Source organism: Homo sapiens, chromosome 3 (genome assembly GCF_000001405.40).
Source record: "Homo sapiens chromosome 3, GRCh38.p14 Primary Assembly".
In the NCBI taxonomy this organism is placed as follows: domain Eukaryota; kingdom Metazoa; phylum Chordata; class Mammalia; order Primates; family Hominidae; genus Homo; species Homo sapiens.
The window spans coordinates 197,117,997-197,144,847 of record NC_000003.12 but is presented as its reverse complement, the minus strand read 5'-3'; the positions used below and the strand labels follow the sequence as shown (position 1 = coordinate 197,144,847).

Below are 26,851 nucleotides of genomic sequence, written 5' to 3'. Positions count from 1 at the left end.
GAAATCCCAACTCTCTCTATATAAATGCCTTTATAACATATAATCTCTAAGAGGAAAATGTCTATAGATGAGAAAGAAGAGGGAACAAAATAGTAATAGGGTTTGAATCTAGGAGAATCACAAGAGTTAAGAACCCAAAAGGGTAGTAGAGATGGGCTTCAAAAGTTCTCAAGGAAGAAACTCCTGGTCCCTATATTAGACCTGAATTAAGGGCTACATTTTATAGTATGGTTAAGAAAGCAAAGTAGCTTATGTAGGTTTTGTTATTTCTCTTGCAGTTATCTATCATTGCATAACAAACTACCCTGAAGCTTAGGGGCTTAAAAGAACAACAGTTCATTTTTTCTCATAATGAATTGGATGGCTCTGCTTTACATGGTGTGGGTTAGGGCACTTGACAAGGTTGGGAGGTCCAAATAGCCTTATTCACGTGGCTGATAGTTGGTGGTGCTGACTGCTGGTTAGGAGTGTAGCTGGGGCTTTTGGCCAAGGGTTTTGGTTCTCTGTTGGTTAGATCTCTCTGTAGGCTGTTTGAGTTTTACTCATGTTATAGCTGCTGGGTTCTAAAGAAAATATATTCCAAGCAAAGGCAAATAATACTATCAGGCATCAGATGACCTAGTCTCAGAAATCACACAGCATCATTTGTGCCACATTTATTTTAGTCAAAGCTAGTCACAGGGCTTGCCTAGATCTAATTGAAGAGGAAAGAGACTCCTTTTGATGGTAGGGTGATTTAGTTATATTGCAAAAGAATGTCTGGAATGGAAGATGTGAGCCATCTTCAGAAGTAGAATTTATCACAGTCCACATTTGATTTAGATAGAGTTTTGCCCAGCCTCATATCACGAGAAATTTTAAAGGAAGGATTCAAACCCATGTTCATCTGATTCCAGGGACTTGTTTCACCAGTGGCCTTTACTGTAGGAGTTAACTTCTTTCAGGAGAGACTAGGAAATAAATTGGAGGGAGATAAATTGTGACCAAGATATCTTGAATGGTGACTGATTTTGACATAAAACATGTAAGTGAAATTTGTGACCGAGGAGGCACAAAATTCCAGATGTCGAAGTGGAAAATTGCAGGATATGTAATGGAAAGAGCAAGTCGTTCACAGAAAGGGTTGGTATGTAAGGCCTATGAAGAGGTGAAGAATGAAGGGAAGTAGTACATTGGGGTCAGTTCATTCGAAGACATGATTACCAACCCATAGAGTTTGGATATTTCTAGGAAGGGAGAGTTGTGAAAGTTTTAGAGGAAGTATGTTATGGGCTTTAAAAAGATCCAGCTGTTGCCAGGCACGGTGGCTCACGCCTGTAATCCCAGCACTTTGGGAGGCCGAGGCGGGTGGATCACGAGGTCAGAAGATCGAGACCATCCTGGCTAACACGGTGAAACCCCATCTCTACTAAAAATACAAAAAATTAGCCGGGCGTGGTGGGCAGGCACCTGTAGTCCCAGCTACTCGGGAGGCTGAGGCAGGAGAATGGTGTGAACCCGGGAGGCGGAGCTTGTAGTGAACCAAGATCACGCCACCACTGCACTCCAGCCTGGGCAACAGAGCGAGACTCCATCTCAAAAAAACAAAACAAAAAAGATCCAGCTGTTTAAAACAGTGATTTGGGCAGTGGGGAATACTAATCTAAGCGATTAGGCAGACTGCATTGACAGTATTCCATTCCAGAGGAGGTTGAACAAGGCCTGAACAAAGGTATTAGAAATGAGAGTGAAGAGGTGATGATTTTCCAAAAAATTAAGGTGTTCAAATCAGAAACAGTTGGTAACTGATTAGATGTGTGGATCAAGACAGAGAAGGATCGGAGGTTGAAACTATTAAAAGCTGAATGTACCTATCCTGGATTTGAAAGTCATGATACCACGAATGTTGTCAACTCATTAATCACATTTGTATTTTTCCATTCCTTGAAAATCTTCCCCAGAATTATTAAAATGAAGCTATTGTGTTTGATTACTGTCGCATTCAACAGGTTTTCATTAATAAATCATACAAAAATTTTGCCTTGCCATTTTGGATTTTACACTCTGAAGTTTCTGAGCTGCTTTTCTTTTCCCCTGTAGGTTAATGGCACAGATGCAGATTATGAATATGAAGAAATCACACTTGAAAGGGTAAAAACTATTATCTTAATCTGTTGTTCTAGAGAACTTTGTAATATACTGCTTTTTCATACAGAATCCAAGGGAGATCTCTCAAAAACAGAACTATATGATATTTTCTAAGTTCCCAGTTCATAAAATTGGCCAAGGTATTTTCAAAACATTTGCCTTTTCTTTAGTAACCTTATTTTTTTAATAAACTTTTTATTTTACAATAGTTTTAGATTTACAAAGAAGTTGTAAAGATAGTCCCAAGAGTTTCCATTTACTCTGGATTCAGCCTCCTCTATTGTTAACATCTTCTATTACTAGAGTACATTTATTTCAACTAAGACACCTGTATTCATACATTATTATTAACTGAAGTCTCTATTTCCTTACTTTTTATGTTATTCTCTCTCAGAGGCCCATCCAGGAAACTACATTACGTTTAGTTATCCTGCCGCCTTAGACCCCTCTAGATTGTGATAGTTTCTCAGATTTTTCTTGCTTTTTAATTTTGTTTATATTGTTTATATGCATATGATAATGAAGTATTGTTCGTATTAAGTAAGTAGTATACTAGTAACATGGTCATTATATCAATTTTCTTTTCTAGCAAAATAACCATACTTCTAACAGACAGAGCTGTATTAAAAACTAATTATGGTATACTTGCCCAATCAGAAAATGACTTGAAGGTGCAATTCAGATGTGCAAATTTTCTTAAGATATGTTTTTCCCTCAAGAATATCTGCACTCACGCCTGTAATCCCAGCACTTTGGGAGGCCGAGGCGGGTGAATCACTTGAGGCCAGAAGTTCAAGACCAGCCTGGCCAACATGGCAAAACTCCGTCTCTACTAAAAATACAAAAATTAGCCAGGTGTGGTAACGCAGACCTGTAATCCCAGCTACTCGAATCAGGAGAATCACTTGAACCCAGGAGTCAGAGGTTGCAGTGAGCCGAGATCGCACTCTAGCCTGGGTGACAGAGTGAGACTCTGTCTAAAAAAAAGAAAAAAGAATATCTGCATTCAGTTTTTATTGTATGTTATAATAGTAATGCCACCTTATCTGGCTAGCATTTTATGGAAATCTAGTGTTTCACACAAGCAGATTTCTTAAGTAACTAAATGTGTGTATACTCAAGACTGAAATCCTAGATAATTAGATTTATTTATATTGGAATAGAATCTGAGAAAAATAAATCTGAGAGAGTCTCTTACATGTATATCTTTATTGCCATCTACTTAAATTCGGATCACTTGCTCAAGTTGGGTGGCTACTGGAGTAATATTCAAGTAAGCACAGTATTAATGTACTGTACATACTTTAATATAGTAGTTTGTGATGTCTCCTAACTTTTTATATTATTGATTTTTTATCTTTTCCCAGGGCCTTTTAAATTCCTTTTGTTTAGTTAGGACTATACATTGTATTTTTCACTGGTTGAAGAACTTGAGTACCTAAGTAATTTGGTAACCTCCCATAATCCACTGGTACTGTTCTTAAGATTCAGGTAATTCATGAAGTTAGATTGAAAAACATTTTTTTATTAAAATAGAATTTTAAGACAAATGGTGGTAGAGTGGGTGTTTACACTGTTTAATACTAACAGTTAAATGATAGGTCCACATATATTTGCTTACTTGAGTTGCCTGAAATTCAGTTAGAACATTCTTCAAGAAATAAACATTTTTTAATACCATTGGTTAAATCAATTATTTTTAAAGGCTTTTTGTAGCAGTCGAACCCTTTCTGTGAAGAACATATTCAGAAATCTTGTTTCTCCAGTTCATAAAACAAGCAAAAAGTAGAGCTGCTTTGGCAAAATTTACTTTGCTGTCAAGAAAATTCACCAATGTTAAGTTCTCAGGTTGGTCTTTCAGTCAGTGTGAAACAATGCCTTTTGCTAATCGGGTATATTGGTTAAACATGTCAGGGACTGATGGCAGCTATCACTTAGCAGCCACAATTTGGTCATTTAAAAATAAGCTGATGTCAAGTTAGCAGAAGAAAAGCACCATCGCCACCCCCTTTTTTAAAGGCTAAAACAGTATATGGGTTTTGCCTACTCAGAAATAACAGCGGGAAGATCACTTCAGCATTTGTCTCTTAGGAGAGATGTGCCCTACCAAACATGGCTGAGGTGCAGTCTAAAAGAAACAGACTTACAGTGACACCTCTGCAGATGGGTGACTAATCCAACGACAAGTTGCACATACTTTTAAAGAAAGAACTGTGGAGTATACTTCAAAAGTCCTTGGTGTATTTTCTTGAACCTCACCTGTTCAGCAGTAATGCCTCTGAAAGGACTTTCCTCCAGAACAAGTCCATTTAATTTAGAATCTTTATATTACTCACCCATATACCTTTATTTGTTGTGTTCCTTATGTTAGTACAGTTTCTGCGTCCTTTAATGACAGGAACCTGTCCATAAAGATAAATCATATTCAGTCTCAATTTTTTTTCTTCTATCCTCAGGGAAATTCAGGGCTTGGTTTCAGCATTGCAGGAGGTACGGACAACCCACACATTGGAGATGACTCAAGTATTTTCATTACCAAAATTATCACAGGGGGAGCAGCCGCCCAAGATGGAAGATTGCGGTATGTTTTGCGCTTTTTATTGTGATGCTGAATCCACTTTGTGTATTTTTCTTGAAGCAGACTGGATAAGGGATAAATACAAATAACAAACACGATCATGATAACTAGCATAGGGTAGATGCTTTAACAACATTCAAGTCAATGAATGAGATAATTATGCTCTAAGCATTGTGTTCCTGTTTTCATTTAGACTCCAGTTTTATCTTAGATATTATAACATTTTGAATAACAAATTTGGTTGATGGTTTAAATCTTTGTGAGCATATTTATAGAAATCATGAGTTTCCCTTTGTGTTTTCAGATACACTCACAGAATATTTTCCATTTCCTCTCTGGCTGGGAAACATGTGTATAAACTTATTTAAGTACACTCACAGAATATTTTCCATTTCCTCTCTGGCTGGGAAACATGTATATAAACTTATTTAAGATACGGAGGATAGAGGATCACACATCCATGTTGAATCCCACACCACAAAGACTATATGCAAACTTTAAATAATATATTTTCTTATTGACTAGATGAAAATAACATTTGTCTCTGTTTAAATTTAGTGTTCCATTTTGGAAGATATATTTTGCAAACTTTGATTTTTTGAGGGTCATAAATTATGTCATTTTTCCTATTTCCTTGTTTGTTGTTCAAATACCCTGAAGTTTTAGGACTAAAGAGTTTATGTAGTCTGTTAAAAACAGCATCTTATTTTAAGGACGTTGATGCCTTACGCAGTTTTTGAATTTCTAAGCTTTATAATTCTCACTGGGTATGACAGGTGGTATATTAATGAAATCAAATAGATATAAAAATTAATCATTTGACCATTCATGTAAATGTAGACATTTACTTCCTGATTCTGTTAGATATAGAAGCTTGTCAGGACCAGTTTTAATATTTTAATTATGTTTTGTTTACCCTCTCTACCCAATTTGAGATGACCATCTTTTTTTCCTGGTGGAATACCATGCAATCAAAGAGACCAGAACTAGGGAAAAGGCTAAGACTAGGAACAAATCAGACTTTTAAAAAACATAACACCATGGCAAATTATAAGTTCTTTACCTACGAAACCTTTGAATTAAGTGACCTAATCTTTATATAAATTTCAAAAAATAACTTAATTGTTTTATGTCTAATATATAGGTTGGAATAGGCACTCAGAAAATTATTTTTACTTTATCTCAGTTTTCACACTATCTCTGTGACCTTAAACTCGTGATGTGAGCCTCAGTTTTCTTATCTTTGAATCACAGCTCTGTCACTTATTATCTGGGTGGCCTTAGGAAAGTTATTTACATTCTTTGTGCCTCAGTTTCTCCATCTGTGAAATAGGGATTAAAATATATATTAAGCTTACAGGTGTCATGAGGGTTAAAATACCAAGAAAGTGCCTGGCATGTGGTTAGTGCTAAATAAATGTTTGCTATTTTTATAAAGTGTGTCTTAATGCCTACACAGAATAAGCATGCAGGAAGTATGCAAATGGTAGCTGTAATTATTATTTAACATTTTTATATAATCTATTATTTTCACTATTTCTTTTGTTCCTTTTGCTGGCCCTTGGGAAATGTTTGTATTTGTTTATATTAGTTTTTGATATACTTTCTTCATTTATGTTTTCTGGAATTACTCCAGAATTATTTATAATTCTCTTTACCTTAAAAAAGAAGTAACAAAAAATTGGTAAAGTGGAAAATTTATATTTAAATTATATTTAATTTTTATTTTTAATATTTAATTGTTTTCTCAGGGTCAATGACTGTATATTACGAGTAAATGAAGTAGATGTTCGTGATGTAACACATAGCAAAGCAGTTGAAGCGTTGAAAGAAGCAGGGTCTATTGTACGCTTGTATGTAAAAAGAAGGAAACCAGTGTCAGAAAAAATAATGGAAATAAAGCTCATTAAAGGTCCTAAAGGTATGTGGTAAGTCAAACTAAGATAAATCTTTAAGAAATCTCTGAGTTAAATATACCTATGAACTTTATCTGTGACATACATTCCAAGTACAGTATTAGTAATATTCTACAGAACTTGAGTGGATTTTAATTTCTCCGTTATTTCTACTGATTTTTGTCTTACGTAGCATTTTAGAATATTTACATTTCTACCAAGATTGCAGCATTTGAAAAGTTCCTTTTTTTGCGGGGTTTTTTTGTTTGTTTTTTTGAGGCAGGGTTTTGCCCTGTCACCCTGGCTGGAGTCCAGTGGTGCAGTCATGGCTTACTGCAGCCTCAGCCTCCTGAGCTCAAGCGATCCTCCCACCTCACCCTCCCAAGTAGCTTGGACTGCATGCACACACCACCACACTGGGCTGATTTTTTTTATTTTTTGTAGAGACGGAGGCCTCCCTGCATTGCCTAGGCTGGTCTCAAACTCCTGGGCTCAAGCAGTTCTCCCACCTCAGCCCCGCAGAGTGCTGGTATTACAAGTGTGAGCCACTGCACCTGGCCCAAAATTCTTACGTTTATTGATGTATGCTTTTATACATTTTACTGCAGTGAGCATATATATAAATTTATAAGTTTTTTATGATTTTTATATTCAATATTTGCTCAGCATGTTTTTAAGAGTTTTTAAAAGTAGGGAACAAAATATCTATTTGTTTTATAAGTGGATATGTCCCTATTTGTATTAAGTATTCTTATATTGAAGACTTCTAGCATTAAAAGAGTGAAATATTTGTGTCCTTGAACACTTTGAAGTTTAGTATTGCTATTAACTTGTGATAATCTACAAAATACTTTAAATGCAGGTACACAGGCTAAGTTAAAAGAAGAAGTGTTTATAATATGTATTATGAGCAGTTACATCTGCAGTAAAGGACTGTTAAGATGTGATTGCTGAATTTTTAAAACATTGATGGCTTGAGGATAAATGGAAATAGTAGTTTCAATATGTGGCTTCATGGAAGAGGGAGGATGTCAACAAATGAAAAAGGAATGGAGAGCTGAGAAATTATCTGATATTGAAGCTATGGGATTTAGGAATTACAGAAATTCCTTACTTAAAATTGTTAATTCATAGAATATTGAAGAAGAACAAAGGTATTCACATTTTTAAAGCCTGTTGGTTCTGCCCACCATCACCAGACAATGTTGTTATTTCTTCTCAATAATTTTGTTCTTGTGAAAATATTAAAAGTGTAGGTAAGCATAATTATGATGGAAACAAAAGTAAAACATAATTTCGCAATGTCACTTTGGAATAACAAGTGCATTTGCGAAAAGATACTAAGAAGGAACATGTGGGATAAAAGGAATCTATTCGTAACTCTAGGAGCAGCTGTATGTCTAAGTGTCCCTTGATTGCAGAACATATACTAGTAGATAACTAAATAGATTCTTTTCTATTTTAAAAAATATTAGTGTGAGGGAATAATTACCTTGTAGTTTTCAACCATTTCTTTCTGGGCTTAAGTTCATATTTATGGATGAGAATCTAGAACTGTTTTCCAAACAGGTCTTGGGTTTAGCATTGCTGGAGGTGTTGGAAATCAGCATATTCCTGGGGATAATAGCATCTATGTAACCAAAATAATTGAAGGAGGTGCAGCACATAAGGATGGCAAACTTCAGATTGGAGATAAACTTTTAGCAGTAAGTATAAGAAATCTATTGTCTTTTAAATCATTTTGTAGTCTGTTTATTTTTCTGATAGATACTGGAATTTCTCCATACCAAAAAGGTCTAAATGATGTTTAAATTAGCAAATACTAGCCTTGCTGTATCAAATCCTAAAAAATGATTCTTGGTAATTCTTTATTTGTCATTTCTCTTTTCTCTGCTAGCTCCTCCTCCCTTTTCCTTTTATTCCTTTGTTGTTGTTGAGGGCTTGTATGCACAGAGTGTTTCATCATAATCCTTAGGTTTATAAAACAATGTCATCATTTGTTTATGCATGACCCTTTTTTATTTTACTTCACTTAATAGTATAATGAAACCTAGTAATTACCCAGCCCAAGAATTAGAACATCAACCATTTTGTGTTTCTTATTCCTTTGCTTCTTAAAAATTGTTTAATCAGGCCGGGTGTGGTGGCTCACACCTGTCTGTAATCTTAGCACTTTGGGAGGCTGAGGTAGGTAGATTGCTTGAGCCCAGGAGTTTAAGACCAGCCTGGGCAGCATGGCAAAACCCTGTCTCTACAAAAAATACAGAAATTAACCAGACCTGGTGATATACACCTATAGTCCCAGCTCCTTGGGAGGCTGAGGTGAGAAGATCACCTGAGCCCAGGAGGTTGAGGTTACAGTGAGCTGTGATTGTCCCACTGCACTGCAGTCTGGGTGACAGAGTGAAAGCCCATCTCAAAAAAAAAAAAAGTTTAATTATATACATATGCCTAAATAATTTTGTTTAGTATTATTTGTTTTGAAGCTTTTTCAAAACACTATTGCACTGTATGAGACTTTCATCTCCAGTATTTTTTTCACTCAATATTGCTTTACTGAGACTTACCCATATCATTGCTTAGAGCTAAAGTTCATTCATTTTATCTCTACATACTATTCCACTGTATGTCTGTACTGCAATTTATTTGTCCAGTCTTCATCAGTGTATTAGTTTGTTTTCACACTGCTATGAAGAATTACCCGAGACTGGGTAATTTATAAAGGAAAGCGGTTTAATTGACTCACCAGACTCAGGAAACTTACAGTCATGGTGGAGGGTGGGGGAAAGCAAACACGCCCTTCTTCACATGCCAGCAGGAGAGAGACGTGCCAGCAGTGGAAATGCCAGATGCTTATAAAACAATCACATCTCATGAGACTCACTCACTATCAAGAGAACATCATGGGGAGCCACCTCCGTGATCTAATCACCTCCTACAAGGTCCCTCCCCCAACACATGGGGATTACAATTCAGGATGACATTTGGGTGGGGACACAGAGCCATACCATATCAATCAATAACTGTCTCAGTCCATGTTCCTTAGGGAAACGGAATCTGAAGAAAAGCTAAAGTGCTAAGGTATTATTTGGCTGTGTGATCTCAAGAAGGCTAGAGTGAGTAAAAATGAGGAGTGAAGCAGAGAATGAACGAGAGCCAATAGAAGGTAGAATGTGTCTGAGCTGGCTGTAATTTTATAAGGTAGCTTGTTGCTTGTCATGTATAACAGTCTTCTAGGCAGACACTGTAAAAACCATCCGGGCATCATAAACCTTACATCCAGCCATCCAGAGAAAAGAAAGAAAGGTTTATCTGCTGGCCCTTTTATTCTCCTGTCTCTTGTCTACCCCCTAGGGGTTATTTGTCCCAAGCTTTTGGATTGTGTTACCCAACTCCCCTGGGCGCAGTTTCTAGGGAAGCCAGCTCCTATACTCCATGGCACAACACTTCACCCAAGCCCAAAAATGGTAGAGTTGCAGTGGTATGACAGGTCAAACATAGGTTTGTGACATGTTATGGCCCTCACTGTGTGGAACACATCAGCCATGCCCAGTCCCAGCCAGAAGAGGCTCAGAAAACTGGGAAGGGCAGGAGACAAGATGAAAGTAGTATAATAGTCAGGACTCTCCACTGAGCAAGCAGCCAAGGCCTAGCAGAATCTGAAAAGGCACATAAACTGGATCTGGCATAGTAGGAAGTTGGTTTTTAAAAATATACTAGCAAGTACTGGTTTTTAAAAATCTATTTTAAGTCTTTTTTTTTTTTTTTTTTTTTTGGTATTATGAATAATTTTCCTGGGAAGAGCTGCTGTGTGTTCTGGTGAACATGTACAAGAATTTTACTTGACTGTCATGGGATTATTGATTATCCTACTAGTAGCATTCTTTTTAAAAACCATCCTGTTGTTTTCCAGGCTGCTTGTAAAAATTTACATCAGCAATATATAAAAGATTCCTTTGTTCTACATCCTGTTTAGTACTGTTTATTGTTGCAAGGAGACTTTTTTTAGTTAATGATGGCGAAAAGGAAAGAGCAGAACTTGAACTATGTTTCTCTAACTTATCCTTTCACAGCTAAGATCACCACTCTTTCCTCAAACTATAACCAGTACCATCTCACCATCACTCATCACTCACACACAAACACAGTCAAGACAGCCTTCTGTTGCACTAGTTTTCTCAGTTTTACTTTTTAATTTCTTGGCTACCATGTTTTCCTTTATGGTTTCTCTAGAACTGGCTTTGGTGGTAGGAGACAGCAACCTGTGCTGATACCATTGTGGCAAGTCTCTCTCTTAAATCAACTTTTAGTGAGGCTTTTGTTCTCTTAATTACACTGGAATCATTCAATTCTCAGTCCTCATCTTAATTGACTTATCTGGCTGGAGTTTGACACACCTTCCTCCTTCTAACACTTTTTCATTTGCCTAATAGTCACCCTTTATCTTGGTATTTCTCTTCTTAGTAGCCACTCTTCATTCTGTCTTTCTGATGTCTGGTGCCTCCTCATATCTGTAACCTCTAAACATTGAAGTAATCCAGAACTCACTCCTTGTCCATTTTCTCCTTTTTACTATTCACTCCCAAGGTCACTGTTTCTTAATGTGTAGAAGACGACTCTGGTAGATGGTCAAATAACTTTTCTCTGGCGTAAAACTTTGGGATCATCATCTTACACATTTCACATTAAATCCCTCAGCAAATTGTGTCAGCTCTTGTGTCAGGTATCTAGTGATATGTGAGAAAACACAGAGATTAATGGCTAAAAAACACCACTCATGTATTTGTTTACAATTCTGCAGATTGGATAGGGCTTGGCAGGAACAACTTGTCTTTGCTGTACTAGGCCACAAAATCCACTGTTAGGTTGGCTGACACATATGGTGGGCAAGTTGGCTCTTAGCTGGGAACTCAGCTGGGACTGTTAGCCAGGTGCTTAATTATCCAGTGGTCTCTTTGCGTGGTTAGGGTGAGTTTCACACAGGATGGTGGCTAGGTTCCAAAAGTAAGCTTTCCAAAGAAGACAAGCACTGGTACATTGTTTTTATCAATCTTCTCTTTCCTTCACAACTACTGTACCTCATTGGCTAAAGCTAGTTACGTGGACAAGCAAAATTCAGTGTAGAAAGAGATTTTTACAAGGGTGTGAATACCAGGATGCATGGCTTATTGTAGGCCACCAAAGAAACAGTATACCACAGCTATTTAATATGTATTTCAGCAGTATACCACAGCTATTTAATGTGTATTTCAGAAGTATACCACAGCTATTTAATGTGTATTTCAGCAGTATACCACAGCTATTTAATGTGTATTTCAGCAGTATACCACAGCTATTTAATGTGTATTTCAGCAGTATACCACAGCTATTTAATGTGTATTTCAGCAGTATACCACAGCTATTTAATGTGTATTTCAGCAGTATGCCACAGCTATTTAATGTGTATTTCAGCAGTATGCCACAGCTATTTAATGTGTATTTCAGCAGTATGCCACAGCTATTTAATGTGTATTTCAGCAGTATGCCACAGCTATTTAATGTGTATTTCAGCAGTATGCCACAGCTATTTAATGTGTATTTCAGCAGTATGCCACAGCTATTTAATGTGTATTTCAGCAGTATGCCACAGCTATTTAATGTGTATTTCAGCAGTATGCCACAGCTATTTAATATGTATTTCAAAATGCAGGCAGTCCTTGCTTTGCATGGTAATGTGGAGCCATAAAAATGACCATGCTGCTGAGACTCTGCAAAGCAATGTTAATCATCAGTGAAGGGAAATTATTATTCTGTGACCTTTACATTTTTTTGTGAAAATATTAAAAACTGCAATAGTCAACTATAAAGGTACAAATTAGGAAAAAGTGAAAAATATATTAAAGTTAATATTGTTAATACATGGTAATTTAAAACGGAAACATTGATAATGTTTTACTTATTTGCAAAAAAAAAAAATGTATCAAAGAGAAGAACAATCCAAACCTAAAGCAAACAGAAGGGTGGAAATAATAAAGATTAGAGCAGAAATTAATGAAATAGGTAATAGAAAAGATGTAAGAAGACAGACAAAACTGAAAGTTGGTCCTTTGAAAAAAAAATCAACAAAATGACAAACCTTCAGACCAGCCAAGAAAAAAGAGAGAAGGCTGAAATTTCTGAAAGCAAGCATGAAAGAGGGAAAACAAGAGACTATTATGAGTAACTATGTGCTAATACCTGAGGTAACTTAGATGAAATTGACAGATTGCTAGAAAGACATAAACTACCACTTCTAATCAGTGTTATAGTTGAGATTCTATCCAGGGCAATAAGAAAAGAAAAAGAAAAAGAAAATCAGATTAGAAAGGAAGAAATAGGCCGGGCGCGGTGGCTCACGCCTGTAATCCCAGCACTTTGGGAGGCCGAGGCGGGCGGATCACGAGGTCAGGAGATCGAGACCATCCCGGCTAAAACGGTGAAACCCCGTCTCTACTAAAAATACAAAAAATTAGCCGGGCGTAGTGGCGGGCGCCTGTAGTCCCAGCTACTTGGGAGGCTGAGGCAGGAGAATGGCGTGAACCCGGGAGGCGGAGCTTGCAGTGAGCTGAGATCCCGCCACTGCACTCCAGCCTGGGCGACAGAGCGAGACTCCGTCTCAAAAAAAAAAAAAAAAAAAAAAAAAAAGAAAGGAAGAAATAAAACTATATTTGCTGATGTCATCATATTGTATATAGACTATCCTAGGAACCTGCTAATAGAACTAATAAATTAGTTTAGTATTGGTTGCAGGATACATCACTACCTAAAAATCAGTTATATTTCTATACAGAAGATAGGTGAATGGCCAAAAAATAATTGAAAAAAAATCAACTTGAGTATTACGAAAGTAGAAATTTAAAACTAATTGATGTATAAATTAAAAGATGCATCATTTTACAGATTTTTTAAATTAGTTGATAATGTTTAATGTTGGCAAAGGTCTAAGTAGATGGGCACTCTCATATTCTGTGGTAGTGAGTATAAATTTACTAAAACCATTTAGGAGAACAATTTAAATATTTGTGCTCAATTGTGTTCTAATAGTTTTCCAATCTAAATATGGGAATATTAACAGATATGATCTTTAATAAATTATGATATAGCCACACAATGGGCTACTGTGCAGCTGTTTTGTTACAATGTAGTAATTCTATTAATTTGTGTCCCAACATGGAACAGTCTCTAAGGTACCTTACATTAAAAATCCTAACATAAAAACAAAAATTTTAGTATGTTTTCATTTCTTTAAAGATAAAAATGTCTAAAACGCATCCACACACATTCCTAAATGCCTAAGAATGAGAGAAAATCAAGACTGGGAGAATAGGAGGTATGGAGACTGGAATCAAGATGGGCTATTCTGTTAACATTCAACGACTTCACATGTCATGATAAACAACTTACTGAGATCATAGACATCAAACATGGGTATTTTCTTTCGGCATACCTTTATTTTCCTTAAACCACTCTCTTATTTTCCCTTTCTTTTCGTGAAATTGTTTCCAAAACTCAGAGAACAAGTGAATATGTCATAAATGTCTTTTGGGACTTTTTTTAGGTGAATAACGTATGTTTAGAAGAAGTTACTCATGAAGAAGCAGTAACTGCCTTAAAGAACACATCTGATTTTGTTTATTTGAAAGTGGCAAAACCCACAAGTATGTATATGAATGATGGCTATGCACCACCTGATATCACCAACTGTAAGTCTGTTAGCATACGTTTGCTTAAATTTATCTTACTTCTTCAGTTGTGATGCCATTAGTGAAATGTTCTCAGTATAATAAAGTTTAAACATTATGCAAATATTTTTAAAGAAACAATTAAGCATGTTAATCTACTCATTTTTTAAAATCTACTTTAAGTCAAAATTTTTATAATTAGAAGGGGGGGATCCTTTTCACCTTTATTATTTTATAGTAGTAGTTACATTTAAAGGATTTTCAAACTTTTATGTAAGTAACAGTCACTAAAGAACATTTGCAAATATTGAAATTGTTTTGTTCTAAGTTTTCCACTTGAGCACAGAAATTTGCTTGAACAAGCCGTTCATTCTATTAACAAGCAAAGTACAGGCATACCTCATTTTATTGGGCTTTGCTTTATTGCACTTCACAGAGACTACATTTATTACAAATTGAAGGTTTATGGCAATCCTGAATTGAGCAAATTTATCAGCACCTTTTTTCTTCAGCAACATGTTCTCACTTCATGTCTCTTAATGTCTCTGTGTCACATTTTGGTAAATCTCGCAATATTTCAAACTTTTTTCATTATTATTATATCTGTTACAGTAATATGTGATCACTAGTCTTTGATGTTACTATTTTAATTGTTTTGGAGTGCCACAACCACACTCATATAAGACAGCAAGCTTAATAGATAAATGTGTGTGTTCTGACTGCTCCTCTGATGACTAGTCATTCCCCTATCTCCCTCGCTCTCCTCGGGCCTCCCTATTCCCCAAGATACAACAATATTGATATTAGGCCAGTTAATAAATCTACAATGACCTCTGAGTGCTCAAGTGAAAAGTTGCATATTTCTCATTATATGTCAAAAAGATTTAACTTAGTGAGGAAGGCATGTTCAATGGCAATAAAGGGAGAAAGCTAGACCTCTTGCTGCAGTTAGCCAAGTTGTGAATGCCAAGGAAAAGTTCTTGAAGAAAATTAAAAGTACTGTTACAGTGAACACACTAATGATAAGAAAGCAAGACAATCTGATTGCTGTTGTGGACAAAGTTTGAAGTGGTCTAGATAGATCAAACCAACCATAAGATTCCTTCAAACCAAAGCCTAATCCAGAACAAGACCCTAACTGTGCTTCAATTCTGAAAAGGCTGAGAGAGGTGAGGAAGCTGTAGAAGAGAAATGTGAGGCTAGCAGGGGTTGGTTCATGAGGTTGAGGGAAAGAAGTCATCTCTATAACATGAAAGTGCAAGGTAAAGCAGCAAGTGCTGCTGTAGGAGCTGCAGCAAGTTATCCAGAAGATCTGGCTATGATACTTAATGGAAGTGGCTACACCAAACAACAATTTTTCAATGTAGATGAAACAGCCTTCTACTGGAAAAAGACACCTTTTAGGACTTTCACAGCTAGAGAGGATAAGTCAGTGCCTGACTTCAAAGCTTCAAAGTACAAGCTGACTTTCTTGTTAGTTGCTAATGCAGCTGGTGATTTTCAGTTGAAGCCAATGCCCATTTACCAGTCCAGAAAATCCAAGGAATTATGCTAAGCCTGTCTGCCTGTTCTGTATAACTGTAATGAAACCTGTGCTCTATAACTGAAGCAACAAAGCCTGAATGACAGCATATCTGTTGACAGCATGGTTTACTGAATATTTTAAGCCAACTATTGAGACCTGCTGCTCAGAAAAAAACAAAAAAAAAACACTCCTTTCAAAATATTAGTGCTCTGAGACAATGCACCTAGCTGCCCAAGAGCTATGATGGCAGTGTGCAGGGAGACTGATGTTGTTTTGATGCTTACTAACTTGTCATCCACTCTGTAGTCCATGGATCAAGGAATAATTTTGACTTTCAAGTCTTACTATTTAAGAAATACATTTTATAAAGCTATAGCTGTCATAGGTAGTGATTCCGCTGATGGATCTGGGCAAAGTAAATTGAAAACCTTCTGCAAAGGATTCACCAGTCTAGATGCCTTTAAGGACATTCATGATTCATGGGAGGAGGTCACAATATCAGCATTAACAGGAGTTTCAAAGATGTTGATTCCAGCCCTCTTGGATGACTTGGAACAGGTCAAAACTTTAGTGGCAGAAGTTACTGCAAATTGGTAGAAATAATAAGAGAACTAGAATTAGAAGTGGAGCCTGAAGATGTGACTGAATTGCTGCAACCTCATGATAAAACTTTAACAACTAAGGAGTTGCTTCTTATAGATAATCAAAGAAAGTGGTTTCTTGAGATGGAATCTAATCCTGGTAGGTGAAGATGATGTGAACATTATCGAAACGGCAACAAAGGATTTTGGGATATTACATAAACTTAGTTGATAAAGCAGCAGTAGGGTTTAAGAGAATTCACTTCAGTTTTGAAAGAAGTTCTACTGTGGGTAAAATGCTAACAAACCAGCATCACATGCTTCAGGGAAATCTTTTGTAAAAGAACGAGTCAGTGGATATGGCCAACTGCATTTTTGTCTTATTTTAAGAAATTAACACAGGCACCCCACCCTTCAGCAACTACCACCCTCAGTATCAAGGCTATCATTATTAAGGCAAGATGCTCCACCAGCAAAAACATTATAACTTGCTGAAGGCTGAGATGATTGCTAGCGGTTTTTTTTTAGCAATAAAGTATTTTTAAATTAAGGCCTGTACATTGTATTTTTAGACATAATGCTATTCCTTACTTAATATAGTGTAAACATAACTTGTACATGCACTGGGAAACCAAAAAATTTATAATGACAGGCTTTATTGCAATATTCGCTTTATTGCTGTGGTATGGAACTGTAATATCTCTGAGGTATGTCTGTAATTCTGAGGTTTCTGGTGCTGCTAGTTCATGGCCTGCACTTTGAGAAACACTGATTTACAATATATCTAAAATTAAAGGGATTTTCTTTGCTCTTAGGTACATGAGGAGAGATACTATTTATCTTTGTACTTTCAGGTTCTAGTGCTTATATTTGTATGCAGTTCAGTTGTGTTGCAGTTGATTAAATTGTTCTTAAAGTACTTACGTATTTTTAGGTTTCTTACTTTATATATATATATATATATATATATATATATATATATATTTTTTTTTTTTTTTTTTTTTTTTTTTTTTTTTTTGGAGACAGAATCTCGCTCTGTTGCCCAGGCTGGAGTGCAGTGGTGCAATCTCAGCTCACTGCAACCTCCGCCTCCCAGGTTCAAGCGATCCTCCTGCCTCAGCCCCCCTAGTAGCAGGGATTACAGGCTTGCGACACCATGACTGGCTAACTTTTGTATTTTTAGTAGAGACGGGGTTTCGCCATGTTGGCCAGGCTGGTCTCAAACTCCTGGCCTCAGGTGATCCACCTGCCTCGGCCTCTCAAAGTGCTGGGATTACAGGCGTGAGCCACCGCACCTGGCCATTTTATATTCAGTTTTTTAAATATATAAGCTGAGAAGAGATTTAAGTATATTTTTTAATGTGTTTGTATTGGTGGAAAAATGAAATCTGTATTTGTTCTTTGCATTGAGTTAATGTTTGAAGAACCCGTAAATAATAAAGATCTTAAACGTACTGGGTATAACCTGCTTTTGAGTGCTCCTTTTTTAAATTGTAGAATTTTAGAAATATTGGTGATTTTTAAAGTAACAGTGCTTCCAATTTTAGAACTGTCAAGATTCATTATATTACTAATCATTATCAGTTAAAAACATGACATTTTGAAATCTACATACTGCCCTCCAGTAATGTATCTTCATTATCTGCTCATTGATTTATTAATTGCTCAAGTATAATTGAATTATTTCCTTAATAGTATTTAACCTGTCTGATGTACAGGGATGGTGTCTTATACTTCTTTTGTGTCAAAGAAAAGAACCTTGCTACTTATTTGAAATTCTTACATATACTTCCTCTAGCACATAAACTTTATATAAAGGCTTTGTGTATTTTTTAAATAATGAGCCATTTTATTCATCAATTCAAGTATCTTATTTTAAATGCTGCCTATCTAATAACCATGTGCACATTGTGACAGTTGTTCCACGAATTGAGTATTAGTGCCCTGATTATGATTATGTTGTTTTTTTTTTTTAAGATGGAGTTTCGCTCTTGTTGCCCAGGCTGGAGTGCAGTGGCGTGATCTCGGATCACCACAACCTCTGCCTCCCAGATTCAAGCCATTCTCTTGCCTCAGTAGCTGGGATTACAGGCATGCGCCACCACGCCCTGCTAATTTTGTATTTTTAGTAGAGACGGGGTTTCTCCATGTTTGGTCAGGCTGGTCTCGAACTCCCGACCTCAGATGATCCACCCACTTCGGCCTCCCAAAGCGCTGGGATTATAGGCATGAGCCACCGAGCCCAGCTGATTATGTTACTTTTTCCCCCATCTGTTATTGAACTAATAAAGCATTATGAAAAAGCTGACATTCACCTTGCAGTTTCAACTTGATCATAATATTTTGCTTCCAGTCCCTTCCCTTCTTAGGCAACTGTAGATGTGGGTTTCGTTGTACACTTCTGCATATGCAATTCATAAACAATCTGTTTGTGTTTTTTGAAAAGCACTTGTGTTTAAATTTTTTTTACATAAGTGAGTTTTACTTGTCAGTTCTTCTGAAGCCTGCACAGTCACCCTGCTGTCAGGCTATTCAGCTTACTCTCTATCCCTGGCTGTGGTGATCTGGTGTTCTCTTCATCAGTCTGGCTGTAGTCACTGAAGACTTTAGTGCGAAGGCCCATTGTCGTTTTGCCACTGTTACTCATGCTGTCATTCCTGGTCATGTCCAAAAACCACACTAATGATTCATCCAACACCCTGACTTTTTGGTTTCTTCATCTCTTTCTGACTATCCTGCCCTCCACTTCAACTCAGTTACTTGCTTCTAAGATAATACTTTAGATTTTGTTATCTATAATTATTAACTTTCATCACCTCTAAAATACCAGTTTGATCATCCCATTGTGTGACTACAACCCTCAGTTCATTCACCTCTATTCTAGCAATTCCATCTCATTTTGACCTTCAGTCATTTGACATTATTATTTTGTTGCCCCTTGTCTCAATTTTTCTATTTGTATTAGCTTAGATTCCATGGTTTCTCATGTTCACTTCATTGCACATCTTCAAGTCCTTTGCCCCCTTCTTCTTCGCAGCAGAATCCCCCAACACTGGTGCAGGCAAACTCTGCTATTTCATTTATGGTTCCTAAAAAGCAGAACCATGGAGAAAAGCACAAAATTCTGCTTTTTACGTATGGCCATAAATCATAGATAGTGCCTTACTCTTGCCTGCAGTCCTACTACATTTCCCTAATTCACTCTCCCACTCTAAAGAATTTTTCTCTCCCCTCAAACCTTCACTTGCCATCTACTATTCATGAATGATGATCTCACTTCATATTTCATATAAGCACCCAGAAGAGAATTTCCTTATTTTTCCACTTTCAGATATACCTATGTAATTATATTTTTACCCCGAAACTCGACTTTCACTTGTGTTTTAATGGGAGTCACTGTCATTGTTCCTGTTGAAAACCAGGTCTTCCATTTGTATACTGAATGTCATTGTTTGTTGTCTGCAGAGAATCTTGTTCTTGCAGCTGTCCCTTCTCTCTCTTGCATAATCAAATCCTCTGTCTACTGGATCATTACCATCAGCACACGAACATGTTTACATACTCCTTATCTGAAGGAAATAGGAGGGATCGTCCTACAGTCTTAAGATACCTCTCTAACACTGCTCCTTTTCTCTGCTTAATATCACCGAGAGCTGATTTTCCTACCATGTTAAGACTTCTTCACATCAAAAAGGAAAAAAGCCAGGCACAATGGTGCGTGCCTGTGGTCCCAATTATTTGGCAGGCTGAGGCAGGAGGGTTGTTTGAACCCAGGAGTTTGGGGGTTATAGTGCACTATTATTGCACCTGTGTCTGGCCACTGCACTCCAGCCTGGGCAACATAATGAGACCCATCTCTTAAAAAAGAGACCAGGCACGGTGGCTCACGCCTGTAATCCCAGCACTTTGTGAGGCCGAGGCGGGCGGAGCATGAGGTCAGCAGATCAAGACCATCCTGGCTAACCCAGTGAAACCCCATCTCTACTAAAACTACAAAAAATTACCCGGGCATGGTGGCAAGTGCCTGCAGTCCCCACTACTCGGGAGGCTAAGGCAGGAGAATTGCTTGAACCCAGGAGGCGGAGTTTGCAGTGAGCTGAGATCGCGCCACTGTAGTCCAGCCTGGGCGACAAAGCAAGACTCTGTAAGAAAAATAAAAAAACATACCCAGTAAAGAAATGGGGAAAGTCTATAAAAAGATTCTTTTACCTGAGACAGGATCTCACTCAGCTGCTCAGGCTGCAGTGGAGTGACACGATGATAGTTCCTTGTAGCCTTGAATTCCTGGGCTCAGGCCATCCTCCCACATCAGCCTTCCAAGTGTCTAGGATAGCATGCCCAGCTAATTTTTAAAATTGTTTTGTAGAGATGGGGTCTCACTATGTTGCCTAAGCTCCTAACCTCAAGTGATCCTGCCTCAGTGCCCCCAAAGTGTTGGGATTGCAGATAGGAGCCACTGCACCTGACCTCTTTATTTAATTTTTAATTGAATTAAAACATATATTCAGTAAGGGTACCAATTTTAAGAATTTAGCTTAATGATCAGTCACATGGCTTTTTAAAACTGCTATGTATTATTCCATTGTATAAGTGTACAACAATTTTTTTCATTTTACTGTTGAGTCACTTACAGTTCTGATCTTTTATGAGTGTAGCTGCTGTGGATGTTTTTGCACATCCTTGTCAGACATAAGCAGTCATTTCTCATGGAGTGAGGTTGCTGTGTTACAGGGTAGGCATATGTTTAGTCTCCAGCGGATACTGCTGAACAATTTCAACAGTATAGGAGGCAATTAAGACCCCAGTTTTTCTACATCCTCACCAACCCTTGGTATTATCCATCTTTTTAATTATGAATAGTATGTATATGTATAAAGTTATCTCATGATTTTAATGATTATTATTTATTCATTTATTGCTGGTTGTTCCTGATGATTAATTATTTTCAGCATTTTTGCCTGTGCTTATTGCTTTGACTCTTGTTCAATGCAATGTCTGTTCAAATCTTTTTACATTTTTCCATTGGTTTTATTATTGATTTAAAGGAAGTTTTATGTATTTGAGAAATAACTCTAATCAGTTACATCTGTTGCAGATGTCTTCACTGAGTTTATGTTTTCCCTCAAAACAATGGTACTTTTTGATGGATAAAATTTTTTAATTCCTTATCAGTCTTTTCTATTAAGGTAGTGCTTTTAGTGACCTGTTGAAATTTTTCCTATCCTTAGGTCATAAGGGACTTGTAGGAGCTTTATTATTTTGCCTTTCACATTTAGGTCCGATCCATTTTGATCTAATTTTTGCATGTAATGAGAGATTTTTTAATATGCAGATATATAATTGATCTAGCATCATTTATTGAAAGACCATTTCTGCCACTGAATTGCATTGGTGCTTTTCTTTTAAGTGACCACATATATATGAACCTATTTCTAGGCTCTTCTGTTTCATTGAACTATTTGTCTTTGTACCACCTGCAGTCTCTTAATTATCATAATTTTATAATAAATATTGATGTAAAGTAAATCTTAATTTTGTTACTGTTCAAGATTATGTTGGGTCTTTGAATTTCCTTTTTAATTTTAGGATCAAAAACATTACAGATCGGTTTAGGAAGAATTAAATTGAGTTTCTTAATCAGTCCATTAATATGAATATCTCTTCTTTTATTGAAGTCCTTCTTACATTCTCTCTGCAGTGTTGTATAGTAGAGGTTTTATATGTTAGATTTAGTCCTGGCTATTTGATGTTTTTCATGCTATTATAAATGTACTACTTTGTAAATGTTTCTAATTTTAACTGATATATAGGAAATATCTGTTTTGTATATTAATTGCTTAGTCAACAATCTTGCTAAATTTGTTAATGTTAGGTTTTATAGGTCTTTCAGATCGTCTACGTATATAACCATGTCATCTGTGAACAATGAATTTTACTTCCTTCTTTCCTATCTTTATACTGTTCATTTTCTTTTTTCTTGTCTGATGCATTGGTAAGACCTCCAGTTCAGTGTTGAACAGAAATGGTGATAATAAATATCACTGTCATGTTCACAAACTGGGGGACACAGTATTTCACCATTGTATATGGTGTTACCAGCAGGTCTTCTGTAGATACCCTTTTTGTATTAAGAAAGTTAATCTTTATTCCTGGTTTATGGGGAGTTTTTATCCTGTAAGTATTGAATTTTATCCAATTATTTATGGAGATGATTTTTCTCTTTTATTTTGTTAACGTGATAAATTACATTGATTTTCTAACGCTAAACCATTCATTTGTGGGGGGAAAAAACCCACATCCTTATAATATATATTATATATCATTGATTTTGAACTGCTTATATTTTGTTTAGGTTTACATCTGTGTTCACAAGCATGAACTTAACGATAGTGTCCTGAAATTTTTCTGTCTTGTAATGTTTCAGAATGTTATTTCATCTCTAGATGTTTTGTTGAATTTTCCAATGAAGCTATCTATCTGTCTGGCCCTGGAGTTTTCTTGGGAAGGATTTTAGTTCTGAATGCATTTTCCTTAGCAGACACAAGAATGTTCAGATTTTCTTTCTCTTGTTACCTAAGAGGACTAGATAACATTTGATTTTTTTTTTTTTTTTTTTTTGTGGTGATTGTCAAGCATTGATGGAGGGGATGTTTCTCACAGAGGCAGCCTTGCAAGTGAGCAGATGTCAAAATTGGAAAACAATTTTTGTACTAGTTAGAAAAATATTTTTAGCAAGAATAGTAAAAGAAATAGGGAAGATCATAGAAGTTATACATGAACTATAGAAGATAAAGAGCCACAATGTTTATAACCAAAATAAGGTAGTCAAAATATGATACTCAGGAATAAAAGTAGGAAAAAAAAGAAGTCTGTTGAATCTAACAGAGAATACAGTTTCTCTGCCGACATTAAAATGTTCCTGTTTTTTACAGTATATATTTTCTCGCTTTTAACTTATATTCTCTTTAGCTGCATGGCCTTGCTACTTCTGATTTGGACACCAGTCTTTTCCCATTCTCACTTCAAGCTCTTCTACTTGCTTTTCTATAAAATCTTATAGTGTTGAATCATTCATCTTAATATATAAGAAAAATGAATTAGGCACTCTTGTGCTTCTCTGGGGGACCTTTTTACATAAGATTTGGGGTATAAGAAATAGTACTGTTTTATCTGATCCTTCTTTGAGGCCGTCATTTCTTTCATAGGAACATTAATTTTTAGTCTCTGTTGTCTGAGAGTATGTGGTACATGTGAGATTAACTGCCCCAGAAAGGATGCATTGACTAAAGGGATAGTCTGGATGTGTCAGGGAAAATGTATATTTTCTGGTTTGGGCATTTGACTGGATTTCTTGTCTAGTTGTTTTTTTTGTTTCATCTAAATATGAAAATGCAGCAAAAGAATTTAAGAGTCAAAAATCAGTAAACTCTGGATTTTTAACAGGCTAGTGATTGTAGAGGTTCACGTGGGTATCTATTGATTGAGGGCTACATACCAATTCACTTGAAAATCCCATATTCTTACTGACCACCCAGGAAAGACTTTGGACTTTCAAAGTTAAGAGCCATTGGTAGAAAGTCCTTTGGCTCAAATACAAACGAGCATCTTATATATGAACTGGATAGGAAACAATTGCTGTTGGATACTGCAAACCTGTAATATCAATAGATACACTGCATCTCTAAAATACTATCGTTTCAGTCATTTCCTGTTGTCTTTCATCCAGTTCACTTTATTCCTTTATGTTACCTATCTGGCCACTATAGTAATTTGAACTAATAATTCCTGCATTTTTGTACTCCAGTGCGTAGTATGCTGCTTCCCTCCATAGAAGATATGCTCTAATTTAATAAAAAAGAGATTAATGCTTGATAATTAAATAATACAGCTACTTTTGAAGTGCTTTGTAACTTTATCATAGTTGAAGCCTCAAGAAAGTTAAATATTGCTTCCTCTGTGTTTTGGTAATGATTGGAATAATTCAAGTGTCTTATGTCTTTGTAAGCTACAGCTGCCATGTGTTACCTACCTGTGTCTTTAGAAAGCATGGTCAGGAATCACTATAATTTTCTGTTATTAGCTTTTGCTAGAATGGAAAACCTATATGTGGTATTTATTACTATTGAAGTGAACCAACGTTTGGTTTTTGCTTTTTTTTTTTTTTTTTTCTTTCTCGAGACAGGGCATCTCACTCTGTCACCTACGTAGGCTGGAGTGCAGTGATGCGATCTCGGCTCACTGCAACCTCCACCTCCCAGGTTCAAGCAATTCTCCCACCTCAGCCTCCCGAGTAAGTGGGACTACAGGCCACACCACCAAGTCTGGCTAATTTTTGTATTTTTTTGGTAGAGATGGGATTTCACCATGTTGGCCAGGCTGGTCGCGAACTCCTGACCTCAGGTGATCCGCCTGCCTTGGCCTCCCAAAGTGCTAGGGTTACAGGCGTGAGCCACTACGCCTGGACGACAGTTTTTGCTTGTTTTTCGTTTTTGCTTTTTACCAGGTTTTTATTCTTCTATGGGTGAATTTAAAAGCATAGATGTAAATTAGGTTGACAGATCTGAGCTAGTATAAGGACATAGTCTTTTCGCACTTATTGGAAAGCCTCTGATTTTTATTATTCACAATCAAATTTGGACTGTATATAATTCTTTAAGTAATCTGGGTGTGGTGGCTTATGCCTGTAATCCCAACACTTTGGGAGGCTGAGGTGGGAGTATCACTTCAGGACAGGAGTTTGAGACTAACCTGGGCAACATAATGTCCAGTTTTTTGGCTGATGAGTAAATCTTCTCTACCAAATTCTGATATATAAAGGAGTGCATATAAATTACACATTAATCACTCATAAATGGAATACTGATTGGCTTGTTTCGTGTTTGAAGTATTTTTCACTTTGTTTATTTTGAAGCTTCTTCTCAGCCTGTTGATAACCATGTTAGCCCATCTTCCTTCTTGGGCCAGACACCAGCATCTCCAGCCAGATACTCCCCAGTTTCTAAAGCAGTACTTGGAGATGATGAAATTACAAGGTAAGGAAGTTAACATTTATCCTTCTTACATAAAATCAACTATTAAATTGAATTTTAATCAGCCATGTAAGATAGCCACAATTTTTAGGACTAAAAAATTTTATTGACAGTTAGTGAGCTTAAAGGTTAATTTTTTTCCATAGGAGGATTCATTGAAGAGCCTGAAATATACATGTTTTATTTTTACAAATAAATTACCACTCCTTTTTTAAAATTAATACTGCTTTTCTTTGAGGCTTGGTAAATTGTCCTTAGGAATTAGCTTAGTAAAACTAAGTTAAGAAAATTCTTATGCATATTTTAAAGTAACATTTTATATGTTCCTTATCTAATATATACCATAAAAATATGGCAGTTATTTGATTTGTGTTCAGAATTCAATAAGTGGTGGTTTGGTTTGGTTTTAGCAGGAGGGTCTTACTCTGTTGCCCAGGCTGGAGTGCAGTGCTATGAACGTACATCACTGCAGCCTCCAACTCCTAGACTCAAGCTATCCTCCCGTATCTGCCTCCCTAGGTACTAAGATTACAGGCGTGATCCCCTTTGCCTGGCTGGTGGGTGGGTTTGTTTGTTTGCTATATATCCTTGATATTCTGACACACAAAATTTACTTTCATCTAAAATTACTACCTGCACTGAAATGTATAGATTAACTGTCTTTTTAATCCCAAAGAATTCTAATGAGGTAGAAAAAAATTGGTGAAAAAGCATTGTAGATCTTTTTCATATTATTCAATATAGTAATAAGACACTATAGAGTTTGCTTTGTAATTTGTACACGTCTTTTATATTACAGATTCAACATTAAAATGTGTACTAAGTAATGTCTGTTCTTAACGTTTATTGATTACATTATTGTTAGCATTATTATTATTTTTTACTTATCAGACTCCTGATTCTAGGCAGTGATCTTTAGGACAGATAGGAGTGTTTGTCTCTTTTCTTTCATAAAGAATTAGCAATGTTGGAAACTTAATAGGTTGTCAGTAATTGTGTTTGGGATGAAAATTAGCAGAAAGAATAGTGTTCTTATTTGTTTGTGATGGGAATATCCAAGGCTGCTAGTCTTCAGGCAGTGCTTCTAGAGTGACCTTTCATTGCCATTTATTTTTATTACTTTCTAATAGTGCCTATTTAAGGCCGTAAAGAGGGAAACTGTAATAGTGAATGGCTTATCTAGTCTTTAATCTCTTTGCATATTTTACAAACTAAAAAATAAGTTATATTTGCACCTTGATTACTGTTCCTCATGCTTCTTCACTTGAGTCTCTTGTCTAGAATATTGCATTGGACTTTTAAGTATGAACCACTCCCTTTTGATAATCACACTACTTTGTAATAATGAAGTATAAAATCTTTCCAACATTATAAGTTCTTCACAATTTGACTTTAAGCAGTCTTTCAGATGTTACC

At 36.3% G+C, this 26,851-nt stretch overlaps 1 protein-coding gene across 45 annotated transcripts in view, besides 1 other annotated feature; it reads left to right on the top strand.

The window, feature by feature from the left end:
- The window catches only part of DLG1 (discs large MAGUK scaffold protein 1), a 256,762-nt gene that overhangs the window by 154,474 nt on the left and 75,437 nt on the right, over positions 1–26,851 (top strand). For all 45 annotated transcript variants that reach the window (NR_158764.1, NR_158765.1, NR_158767.1 and 42 more), the window contains 6 exons: positions 2,080–2,130; positions 4,584–4,708; positions 6,457–6,626; positions 8,170–8,306; positions 14,177–14,321; positions 25,318–25,438. Coding sequence is in view for 39 of the 45 variants with exons in the window: in NM_001366203.1 (NP_001353132.1) it covers positions 2,080–2,130; positions 4,584–4,708; positions 6,457–6,626; positions 8,170–8,306; positions 14,177–14,321; positions 25,318–25,438 (749 nt within the window). In the remaining 6 variants the exon portion in view is untranslated. The remainder of the gene's footprint in view (positions 1–2,079; positions 2,131–4,583; positions 4,709–6,456; positions 6,627–8,169; positions 8,307–14,176; positions 14,322–25,317; positions 25,439–26,851) is intronic.
- Positions 11,377–11,575: a silencer, noted in NCBI's record as "fragment chr3:196860144-196860342 (GRCh37/hg19 assembly coordinates)". NCBI's record gives its function as "represses an EF-1alpha promoter that drives an FKBP-Casp9 reporter gene in an ReSE screen in K562 erythroleukemia cells {active_cell/tissue: K562}" and the evidence as "EXISTENCE:reporter gene assay evidence [ECO:0000049][PMID:32094911]".